The 12,394-nt window shown below is 42.8% G+C and overlaps 2 annotated features.

The window, feature by feature from the left end:
- Positions 8,253 to 8,302: an enhancer, noted in NCBI's record as "active region_1954". NCBI's record gives its function as "activates an Ori minimal core promoter by ATAC-STARR-seq in GM12878 lymphoblastoid cells {active_cell/tissue: GM12878}" and the evidence as "EXISTENCE:reporter gene assay evidence [ECO:0000049][PMID:35858748]".
- Positions 8,333 to 8,782: an enhancer, noted in NCBI's record as "active region_1955". NCBI's record gives its function as "activates an Ori minimal core promoter by ATAC-STARR-seq in GM12878 lymphoblastoid cells {active_cell/tissue: GM12878}" and the evidence as "EXISTENCE:reporter gene assay evidence [ECO:0000049][PMID:35858748]".

Consider the following 12,394-nt stretch of genomic DNA (forward strand, 5'->3'; position numbering starts at 1 on the left):
CACCTCAACTGGTTTTTGTTCTTTACCTGGTAGGGTGACCCATACCTTCATTCCTGAAGGGCCTGGGCCATTAGCAGTTCTGCCTGCATTGGATTGTCATAGTTTTCCTTTGAACTTAATCACAGGGCATGATAATACTAAGAGATGCCCCTAAGGGAGCTCTTTGTATTCCAGACCCTTACCTGCTATTGTGAAATACTAGACTAGTTTCTCCCTTGGCAGTCAGGATCAGTATCCCAGCCAACACCAAAATTCCCTTCTTTGCCTGTTGATTCAGAGGAATGAGGAGGCCAAAGTACTCAGGTGGCAGCCTTGACTCCCAGTTCAGTGGAATCACTGTTGTGTCTCCTAGTGGAAGCATTCCTCCCTCTGTAGCTAAGACATTGAGGCCAGCAAAACACAAAGTTGCAAGAACAGGAAGCAAAATTTTTGCTAGTGGGTCACTAGGGGGTAATAGTGGGTGGTGCCACTCCTGTTGCCATCTCCTAGATTCCACAACCCATGAATACTGGCTATTGGAAGAAAGAGCACTATATGTTGAACACTGATTCCAAGCATAGACACAACCTTCTGGAGAACCTTGCCCTAGTCCCTCAAGGTATGTGATGGTCTAAAGGTTGGTATCCCAGCGAAATTCATATTTGGGACCTATTGCCCAATATGATAGTATTAAGTGGTAGAACCTTTAGGAAGTGATTAGGTCACCAGGGATCTAGCCTCATGAATGGGATTAGTGCCTGTAGGAAAGAGGCTTGAGAAGGCCAGTTGGTCCCTTTCACCATGTGAGAACACAGCAACAAGGGGCCATCTATGAAGCAGAGAGCCCTCATCAGACACTGAATCTATTGGTATATTGATCTTGGACTTCCCAGCCTCCAAAACTGTGAGCAATAAATTTCTGTTGTTAATAAATTACTCAGTCTAAGACATTATGTTATAGCATTAAGAACAAATGAAAACAATATTGCCACCTAGCTCATGCTGTAACTGAGTCTTCCAAAGCCCATTCCACTGTTCTATTAGGCCAACTGCTTCAGAATGATGATAAGCATGGCAAGACTAGAGAATTCTAGGAACATGGGCCCATTGCCACAATCTTTTGCTGTGTAATGAGTTCTTTGATCAGCAGCAATACTGTGTGGAATATTATAATGGTGGATAAGACATTCTGTAAGTTCACAGATGGTAGTTTTGGCAGAAGCATTGCATGCAAGGAAGGCAAATCCATATCTAGATTAAGTGTCTATTACAGTAAGGACAAAACACTGCCCCATGATGGAAGAGGTCCAATGTATTCAACCTGCCACAGGGTAACTGACTTATCAACTTGGAGCATGGTGCCATATTGGGGTCCTAGTGTTGGTCTGTGCTACTGACAGAGAACACAGCCAGTGGCCATTGCCAGGTAAGCTTTGGTAAGTGGGAGCTCATGTTGCTGAGCTCATGAAAAACCCCATCCCCGCCACCATGGCCACTTTTTTTATGAGCCCGTTGGGGTGGCTGGGGAAAGAGGCTGACTGGTATCCATAAAATGAGTCATCCTATCCACTTGATTATTGTAATCATCCTCTGCTGAGGTCACCCTTTGGTAAGTACTCACATTGGACACAAATATCGTCACTCCTTTTGCACATTCAGAGAGATCTATCTAGATACCTATTCCCCAAATTTCTTTGTCACCAACTTTCCAGTCATGACCCTTCCAAGTTCCTGCCCACTCCGCCAAAGTGTTGGCTACTGTCCATGAATCAGTATATAATTATATATCTGGCCATATCTTCTTCCAAGCAAAGTACACAACCAGGTGCACTGTTCAAGTCTGGCACACTTGGGAGGATCTTCCTTTACCACTGTCCTTCAGGGATATCCCAGAAAAAGGCTGCAGTGCTACAGCTGTCCACTTTCAGATGGTGCTTGCATGTCATGCAGGACCATCTGTATTCCAGGTCTGAGTCTTCTCCAATCTTCTCTCCTCTGTAAATTAAGAATATGGAACTACCCATGAGACCATAGATTCAGACTGCAAGAGAGAAAGTAGTGTAGCAGGAATGGGGACCATGGGTATTTAGGCCACTTCTTTATGTAATTTACTTGTACCTTCAGGGGCTGCTTGGCCTCATTATGTATATAACTCTTCCATCTGATGATGGACTATTGCTGTGTATGCCAAAATTTATGGCTTAGGGGATCAGATAATACCCAGTTTAAGATGGGCAGCTCAGGATCATACGGTAATTTGGTCAAACATTCAGTCTCTACTAAGGCCCAGTAATAGGCCAAGTGCTCTTTCTCAAAAGGAGAGTAGTTATCTGCAGCTGACTCCAGGGCATTGCTCCAAAATCCTAAAGGCCTGTGCTATGATTCACCTACAGAGGCCTGACAAAGGCTCCAAACAATACCCCTGTCTGCTGCTGACACTTCAAGCACCATTGGATCTGCTGGAGCATGTGGCCTAAGTGGTAAAACAGCTTACACAGCAGCCTAGACCCATTGCAGAGCCTTCTCTTGTTCTGGGCCCCACCCAAAACTGGAAGCTTTTTTGATCACTAGGTAAATGGGCCAGAATGAGGAATATGTTGTCTCAAAAATCCGAAGTGGATCACTCGGCATTGTGCCACTTTCTTGGTTCCAGGAGGGTCCAGATATAACAAGTTATCTTTCACCTTAGAAGGGATAGCTCTGTCTGCCCCATATTGCTGAACCCCTAGAAATTTCACTGAGGTAGAAGACCCCTGAATTTTAGTCAGATTTATCTCCCACCCTCTGACATGCAGAGGTCTTACCAATAAGTCTAGACTAGATACCACTTCTCACTCACTAGGTCAAATCAGCATAATGTCATGAATGCAACTGACCAGTGTCATATCCTGTGGAAGGGAAAGGTGATCAAGATTCCCTTAAATATGATTATAACACAGGGCCACAGAGTTGATATTCCCCCAAGGTAGGATATTGAAGGTATACTGCTAGCCTTGTTAGCTAAAAGCCTACTGTTTCTGGTGGGTCTTATGGATAAGAATGAAGAAAAAGGCATTTGCCTTAAGAAAATAAAAAAAGGTATTTGTCAATTTAAAAACAAAAGCTACATACTAGATACCAAGGAGTATGTTAATTACTCAAACAGTAAAACCACATCTGGTATGGCAGCTGCAACTGGAGTGACCACCTAGTTAAACCTATGATTATCCACTGTCATTCTCCAAGATTCATCTGTTTTTTGCACAGGCCAAATAGGAGAGCAACGAGGATGTAGTGGGAATCACCACCACCCCTGCATATTCCAAGTCCTCAGTGATGGCACCTGTCTCTGCAATCCCTCCAGGGATGTGGTACTGCTTTTGATTTACTATTTTCCTAGGTACACCCATTTCTAATGGCTTCCACTTTGTCTTTCCCACCGTAACAGCCCTCACTCCGTAGGTCAGGGAACCAATGTGGGGACTCTGCCAGCTGCTCAGTGTGTCTATTCCACTTATGCATTCAGGAACTAGGAAAATAACAACAGAATAGGCTCAGGGACCCACTGGACCCACTGGGAAATGGATCTGAGCTAAAACACACTTGACCTCCATAAGCCCCTACTCTGATCGAAGGGCCACAGTGATGTTTTGGTCTTCTGAAATCAGTGTCAGTTCAGGGCCAGTGTCCAATAGTTCTCAAAAGATCTGACTATTTCCTTTTCCCCCATGCACTGTTACCATAGTTAAAGGCTATAGGTCCTTTTGGAGAAGGCTGGGAGAAAGATTAACAATATGAATACTCTGTTGTATACCAGGGTCCTTCCTCCAGAGAACTCGGTCTCCCCCTTATTCAAGAGGTTTTGGATCTGTAAACTGGCTCAAGTCTAGGAATTGATTCAGGGACTGTGACTGTTTTTATGAATTGAGTTAAACTTTTGTTCACTTGATCTAAATTTTTTTTTCTTATACAAATCAAGTAAGAATTTAGTAGGCTTCCTATCTGTTTTTCTTCTGGGAACACCATCATTACCTCATTAGTGCCACAGGTCTGCACAAGTCAGACTATTCTGATTGCTGCTTTGACTCTGCTGTCTATTATGGTAACTACTCCCATTTTGCCTTTGGCGGTTCAATACCACACTTGGCTCCTGCCACCTAAGGTCCAATTATTCCCATTGTGTTTAGGTTTTCCAGTTGAGTGGCTGTGGTTCCCACTGTAAGATGTAATCAAAGTGAAGAGTGATCGTGGAGCTCTCCAAGGATGCTGGGGCTCCCCTCATAAATTTATTTCTCATAATGTGTAAAAGTTACGTCTTCTGGATACTCCCAGTGTGGGTGAGTAAGTCTTAAATAATATATTCATTCTAACATTCGAATCTCTCAAAGTCTCTGATCCTTTTCTCTACACTAAACAAGGGAGGTCAGGCATTTCCATTTCTTACGGTGGGTAAATTTTGGTCCGTGATTTCAATCTACCAGACAACCTCTTGGGCCCTTTCAAACATCATGAGCTGCAACACTAAATGTAGAATCTCTGCTCAGTCAGCATATTAACTAATAAATAAAGTGAGACCCAACTTTATGTTCCTTCTACCATTACCCCACACCCTTATTATCCATTCCCACAGGTTTCCCAGATTTTTGTTTATATAAGTTAGAAAACTCATGTAGTTCTTTTGGAATATAGTGCACCTCCTCATGGGTCCCACTTTGTACCTCATCTTTAGGGGCCTCCTGGGACTTGAGTTTAGTTATAGGTCTCAAAGCAAAGAGGGGTGGGGAGAGTGGGTCCGGAATCAGTAGTGTTTTGCATGGTAATTGCCTTAGGGGAAGGCATTACTCTTTTCTTTGGCAATGTGGCACCTCAGAAGGAGGTGGAAAGACCAAGACCACTGTGGGTGGGGAGGCTACTTTCACTGGGGATGAAGGAGGACTTTTCCACTGGCAAAGAAGGTTCATAAGCATATAGGGGCTGAATATCCCCAGCTCTATCATGGTATTCCCAATGTCTCTTTCTCAGCTTACAGGATATCATTCTTTCCCAATGAATGCCATCGCTTTAACAGTAGACACCCTGCAAGTTTGGGAGTTCAACTTGTATTGTAATTCAGCCAATCACAGGATGAGGTTCTGCATTTGGTTTTCAGCCTCTCAGCTATAGGAGATAAGTCTCTTCTTCAGGGCACACTACAAGCTTTTAGGTCATTTATGCCATGCTCCAGTTGGGATATATATATATATATATATTTTTTTTTTTTTTTTTTTTTTGAGATGGAGTCTCGCTCTGTCACCCAGGCTGGAGTGCAGTGGTGCCATCTCAGCTCACTGCAACCTCTGCCTCCCAGGTTCAAGCAATTCTCTTGTCTCAGCCTCCCAAGTAGCTGGGACTACAGGTGCCCGCCACCACACCCAGCTAATTTTTGTATTTTTAGTAGAGACGGGCTTTCACCATGTTGGCCAGGCTGGTCTCGAACTCCTAACCTCAGGTGATCCATCCACCTCGGCCTCCCAAAGTGCTGGGATTACAGGGGTGAGCCACTGGGCCCAGCCTCCAGTGGGGAATTTAAATCCCCAAGCTCATCCCTTTCTTTCACCACTTTGTCCATTGATATTAGGAGAAACCAACCAATGTCATTGTGTTCTCTTATTTTCTAAAAATGTTTAAAAGTATCATATACAGAGTAAATGAGCTCCTTGCTTCATATAAGTGATTAGATATAAGTTGATTAGAAGTATTCAGTGCAGATATTTTTCCTATCTCTATATAAATAGTGTATGTCACAGACTATCACTGCTTTCCTTACTACTAGAAATAGTCATTAGTATCTTTAAATCTAATCAGATTGGAGAGCCAATTCCAGAGACTCCAGAGCCAATTCAGAATAACCATTCTTAAAATTGTTTCCTGTAGAACCACTCTCAGTACCAAACTCTATATTAGCCAGGGTTCTCCAGAGAAACAGAACCAATAGGATGGAGATATATGCATGTATAAAGATTTATTATAGGCATTGCCTCATACAGTTATGGAAGTCAAGGAGGTCCCATGATCTGCTGTCTACAAGCCAGAGAACCAGGATAGCCAGTCGTATAATTCCGTTTAAGCCTGAAGACCTTAGAATTAGGAGGCCAGTGGTATAAGCCTCAGTCTGAGTCCAAAAGTCCAAGAACCAGGATTGTCAATGTCTGAGGGGAGGAGAAGATGGATGTCTCAACTCAAGCAAAGAAACTAATTTCCTTCCATCCTTCACCTTTCTGTTTTTATTTTATTTTTTAATTTTTATTTTAGGTTCAGGGGTATATACGCAGATGTGTTATGTAGGTAAACTCGTGTCATGGGGATTTGTCAGGTAGATTATTTCATCTCCCGGATACTAAGCCTACTATTCAATCATTATTTTTTCTGCTCCTCTCCCTCTTCCCACCCTCCACCCTCAAGTAGGCCCCAGTGTCTGTTGTTCCCTTCTTTGTGTCCATGAGTTATCACTTAGCTTCCACTTATAAGTGAGAACATGCAGTATTTGGTTTTCTGTTCCTGTGTTAGTTTGCTAAGGATAATGGCCTCCAGCACCATCCATGTTCCCGCAGAAAACATGATCCCATTCTTTTTTATAGCTGCATAGTATTCCATGGTATGTATATATTTTTAATTGACAAATGATAATTGTACATATTCTTGGAGTACATAGTGATGTTTAGAGCCATATAATTTGTAGTGATAACATAAGGGTAATTAACATACTTGTCATCTCAAACATTTATCATTTCTTTGTGTTGGGAACATTCAATGTCCTCCTTCTAGTTATCTAAAACTGTACATTATTGTTAACTGTAGTCATCCTAGAGTGGTATAGAACACTATAACTTATTCCTCTTATTCCTCCTATCTAGCTATAATTTTGTAATCTTTAACAAGTCCTTCCTTATCCCTCCTCTCTGCGTTTTTGTTCTATTCAGGTCCTCGATAGATGTGTGATGCCTGCCCTCATTGGTGAGGGCAATCTTCTTTACTTCATCTACTGATTCCAATGCTGATGACCTCTGAAAACACCCAGCAACAATATTTTATCTGGTATCTGAGCATCCCTTAGCCCAGTCAAGTTGACACATAAAATTTACCATGACAAGGACCAAGAGTTGTTTTCCCTCTGCCAAGGTAGATCCTGTATAAGGCAGGGACAGCCGCATGGGATAGCTTCCAGAAGGGACAATCCTGGAGCTGAGTTAGTCTGGGAAGAAAGCAAACAAGATGAGGACAGGGAGAGATGAAGGTGAGGCCCAGAGGCTAACCACTAAGATCTCCACTTCAAAGATGGGCAGACAGCAAGGCAAGTGGTTGAGGCAGTTAAGAGGAGACATTGGTGTGGATCCTGGCTCTACTTTAGGGCTGAGGCTACCTAAAGTTTTTGCTTTTGCTCTTCCATGCATACCACCTCCATCCCAAACAAGGCAGAATAAAAAACCAGGGGTGAGCTGGCTTAGAGCACCAGGAAAACGAAAGGAAAGGATGTGTAATTAAAAAGGGGAAAAAGAAGAAAAAACCCATGCTACCCACAGTGGTTAGTCACTAATCTGCATTACTTTCACCACACTGAAAACTTGGAGAGGAGAGAGGAAGAGATACAGAGAGGGGAGGGGGGAGAGAGAGAGAGAGAGAGAGAGAGAGAGAGAGAAAGAGATAGAGAAAGAGAGAGAGAAAGAGAAAAGCAACTCTGGACGTCATGTATCTTCTCTTAGTCCTATGACCATGAGCAAAATGCTTAGTTTCTTGGAACCTCAGTTTTCTCTTCTATAAAATGTGAAAGATACTTTCTACCTCATAGGATTGTAGTGAGATTAAAGGTAAAGATAATCATACACGTAAAGTGTTCAGCAGAGTATAACATCACAGTCCTTCGACAGAAGTTACCTCATCATAAAGAGACTACTGGCTAATTATATAGATTCCATTCAGAACTGAGCCTCTAGAACTTTAAGTATAAAGAGTAACTGAAGACCTGAGAATAGCAGTTAATCATATCATTATAAAGTTGAGGCATATAATAAGAGGCAGCTGACCAGTGCTCACAGATCAAGCAAAGTAGCAAACACTCCCCTCTGTGTCATTCACTCATTCACGCCACCCTTACAGAAGGCTTGTCAGCTATAAGGCTCTGAGCTGTTCCTCCCCTCACTCCTCCGGTGCTCTTTCTAGCTCCTCCTCTTTGCTGTGTTCTCCATGTTCCCTCCCAGTCACTTGCATGCTGGGACCTGTGCATCTCCCCAGGAGCAGAAGCAAGCCTTGCTGAGTCAGGCTGCTAAACGGACTTTCTGGTTCTGGAGGTTCTGCAGGCCCAACTGTCCTGTGGGTACAACTCTGCCTGTCTCCTCCTGGTCAGTTAGGGACCTAGCACAATCCCTCTGATTGCTTGGCTCTGTGGAGAGCCTGTTCCCTGCTCCCATCTCACTTGGACCCAGTGAATTTCATTCATTTCCTGCTTTGCCTGGTCCCTGGATCTGTCTGATGCCTACTGGTCAAGCCCTGGTCTGACTTCCTACCCAGCCTCATACCCTCCAATCCAGGCAGCCTCCTCGCCACTATGACAACCGTAGGGTCTGGAAGGCCCCATGGGAATGTAAGCTTCATAAACGGAGGGAATTTTTGTCTGTTTCCTTCACTTTTCTCTTCCCAGACCTAAATCAGTCCCAAACATCTATTTAAAACTTACACAGAGAATTTTGGAGCTGGAAGAGACTCTAAGGATCATGTAGTCTAACTCCCTCATCTCAGAGAGAGAAAATGAAAGCAAGGTCACAATGCAGGCTGATGGTGACAGGATCCTCCAAGCCACACAGCAAGCCCTGGGTTAGCTCACTGCTGCCTCCTCTTGGCCCAGCTGGCAAACCATGCACATATTCAGCAATTTTACTAGTCTGTTTCTTGTTTTGTTGTCTGTTTTTCAATAAAATATAGAACCTTATGAAAATACCTGCACATTAAGCTTCATGAACACTGAGGAAAACACACAGTATTTCCTCTTCTTCTTCTTCTTCTTTTTTTTTTTTTTTTGAGATGGAGTCTCACTCTGTTGCCCAGGCAGGAGTGCAGTGGTGCAATCTTGGCTCACTGCAACCTTCATCTCCTAGGTTCAAGCAATTCTCCTCCCTTAGCCTCCTGAGTAGCTGAGGAGCTGGGATTACAGGTGTGCACCACTACACCCAGCTAAATTTTGTATTTTTAGTAGAAATGGGATTTCACCATGTTGGCCAGCTGGTCTCAAACTTCTGACCTCAGGGGATCCACCTGCCTCAGCCTCCCAAAGTGCTGGGATTACAGGCATGAGCCACCGCACCCGGCCTTACACACAGTATTTCTGTAGAGTAAAACTGTTGAATGGAATCTGCTTCTTAAAGTCTTCTAAGGGAAGAATATTGAGGTAACATAATCTGAATGAGAGTCTAAAAAGAATACAAGGAAAAGAATAGCTTAGAAGGCAAAATATAAGGCTGTATGAATAGAAAGGAAATAGATACCCCTGAATTTTGTGTCCATTTTTCAATTTCCTTATTGCTTCGAAATTTAAAATAAACATCAGCAGGGATGTGAACTCTCCCTAGCCAAACCCAGAACTGTGGGAAAGGCAAACAGCAATGGATAGGTTGCTTCTCTCACAGAGACTTTCATTCATTCATTCTGTTTTTGTTTTTGTTTTACATTCACTTACTCTGTAAGACAAAGTAGCAAACATAAGAGGCCATGTTTGCTCATTCAGCTGCCAGCAGAATTTCACAAAGCCCCTGACTCAGTGACTGAGGACAGCCCTTCGGAAGGATGCCCTGAAGATGATAAGAAGGATGGAGCCCAGGTTACCACATCTCTTACCTAAATCACTGCATTTTTAGAAAAGATAAATTCAATGATCCTGGCCTTTGTCTTTTTGCTGTACATAAGATAATGGTTGACAGGATTAATCATTATGCCTCTGTAATCTATAACTAGATGTACCCTTGCACCCAAACTTTGGTGAAATTTTGCTCTTACATAACTTTTGAGCACAGGCAGAATGACTGTCACCTTATGTATAAGCTGTAGGCTGAAACACTGCTTTGGAGCAGTCTAACAGAAACTCTCCGAAAGACTCTCCTGGGTTGCCAACCTCAGTAAGACTAAATAAAACTCACTTTAATTCTTTAAAAACTTGGCTTTTCTTTAGTTGACAAGTGTTTCAGCAAGTATTTAGTGAGCACCAACTATGTGCTATGGCCAAGAAGCAGGGATGGATAAAGCATGACCCCTAACTTCAAAGAGCTCACAACCGATGGAAAAACAAATGGGTCAAGAAGCAACTTGACACAGATTGAGCCAGATGGAGAAAGGTCAATGAGTCCCCTCGAGGAGAAAGAAAAGCAAGGTCATAACACAGAGACATGTGTAGTGACCGTGGGGCTTTAATGGCTGTACTTTGGGGTGTGGAGAGAGTGGGTAAAACTACAGAGATGCCAGATTGTAGCAATCTGTTTACTTTTCGGCTAAGAAAAATGAAGGGGGCTTTTCCAACAATTTGTTTTTGCATAGTCTGAACTGTCAACTTACTCTTTCATAGGGTGGTAATCGATCTGCTCCTAAGGGTCATTAGTCGTTTCCTCCTCTTTCAACCTGTTCTCACCTCCTCCTGTCACACAGCAAGGGCATCTGGCAGCACCAAGGCAGGAAGCCTTCAGATACATACAGTTCATACTTCACACCTAAAACAATTTCCAGTAGACACTCACTTCCCTGGCTTTTTGTGGGTAAGTGGCAGGATTTGAGCTCTTCTCTTCTAGTGCAATCTCAGAGCTTTCAGTATCTTGGGACCTTTTCCAGCAGGCATTAGCTTCTCTATCTTGGGACCCTTTCCAGCAGGCATTAGCTTCTCATTTTGCTACCCCGAAGTTAGGGGCCAGGAGATGAAGCATTCCACTCCTACAAAATGCTGGTGACTTGAAGAGCTCAAAAACAGGCATTGTACTAATTCTTCCTTCTCCTTCACATTCAGACGGCAGGCTGCCGCCCAAGAGTTAAGGGGTTCTGGTTCTCTTCAGACGCAAAGAGTGAATAGTGCTCTGTGGCAGAGGTTTGTATTTATACGTCTATGCCTTTAACAATGGTGCATTTGCTCTCAGGATCATGCTACCTGGAGTCCCTGAATGACAGTTGTCTGGAATAACAAGCAAGATCACTGACAGCCCCAGAACTGCTTCCCTAGCTATGAAATTTTGTTATATCTGTAAATAAGCATAAATATTAACTAGTCAGTAATGTTGAATTTTGTTGAATGTATAATTGGACCTAGATTTGGAGAAAAGATATTCAACTCTAATTTTGTTTCAACTAAAATTTGACTGATTAGTCTCTGCCTCTTTGTTTAAACCATTCACTCTTCCTGTAGAACCCCGTGGCCCATTAAAATCCTCCCATTTCCACCCAGTCAAGTTCCTAGACCTTTGAGTTCTCTTTTTGGTTATTGTTCTTCATCTCTTGGTGCATGTGCTTTCTAATATTTTAATTTTTTTCAAAATACTACATATATATAGTTATAAAATTCAACTAATAGCATAAGACATAATAAATTTTGAAAAAAAAAAAAGCAGCAGTCTTCTGCCACACTACACCCAGAACTGCTGTTCTGGCAACTGTTGTGCTGGCAACCACTGTCAATTATTTGTTTTTTCTCATGATACTTCCTTGATATTTAGAAATGATATATTTGTTCTGTCCTTTCTTGATTTTAGACATTAGTTATTGACTTCCTGCTATGGAGATAGGTATTTGGCTCTCTCATCCACTGTCCTCCACACTCTTTAGCCACTCAGCAACACAAAGGCCTTTCTGCCCATCCCGCCAGAGTATGTTGTAACATAGCTTTTTGCTAAACTGTATTTAACATTTATGACAATAAGTATTCACATTCGAGCCATGTAGAGTATTCAATTTCCTTCCTAACCATTCTTTGTTTTTCCTATAGTTGATAATGTCTTTCACTGGGTGCTCTGGTCCTGCTGCCTCTATTAATCCCCAGTACAACAGAGTTGAGAGGTGGGAATTTTAAGAGCCCTCATGAATTGGTTAATGCCATTATCTTGGGAGTGGGTTAGTTATTGGGGGAGTGAGTTCCTAATCGAAGGATGGGTCCAGCCCCCTCCCCTCTCTCTCTCTCACACACACAAACACACACACACACACACACACACACACTCACTTTCTGATCATGTTATGCCTTCCACCATGTTATGATGCAGCAAAAAGGTCCTCACCAGATGCAGCCCCTTGATCTTGGACTTCCCAGTCTCCAGAATCATGAGACAAATAAAATTCTACTGTTTATAAATTATCCGATCTGTGGGATTCTGCCATGGCAGCACAAAATAGACTAAGACATGTCCCTTTCTGGAACTGTGTTATCCAGGGGTTGGAG

Source organism: Homo sapiens, chromosome 1 (genome assembly GCF_000001405.40).
Source record: "Homo sapiens chromosome 1, GRCh38.p14 Primary Assembly".
In the NCBI taxonomy this organism is placed as follows: Eukaryota; Metazoa; Chordata; class Mammalia; order Primates; family Hominidae; genus Homo; species Homo sapiens.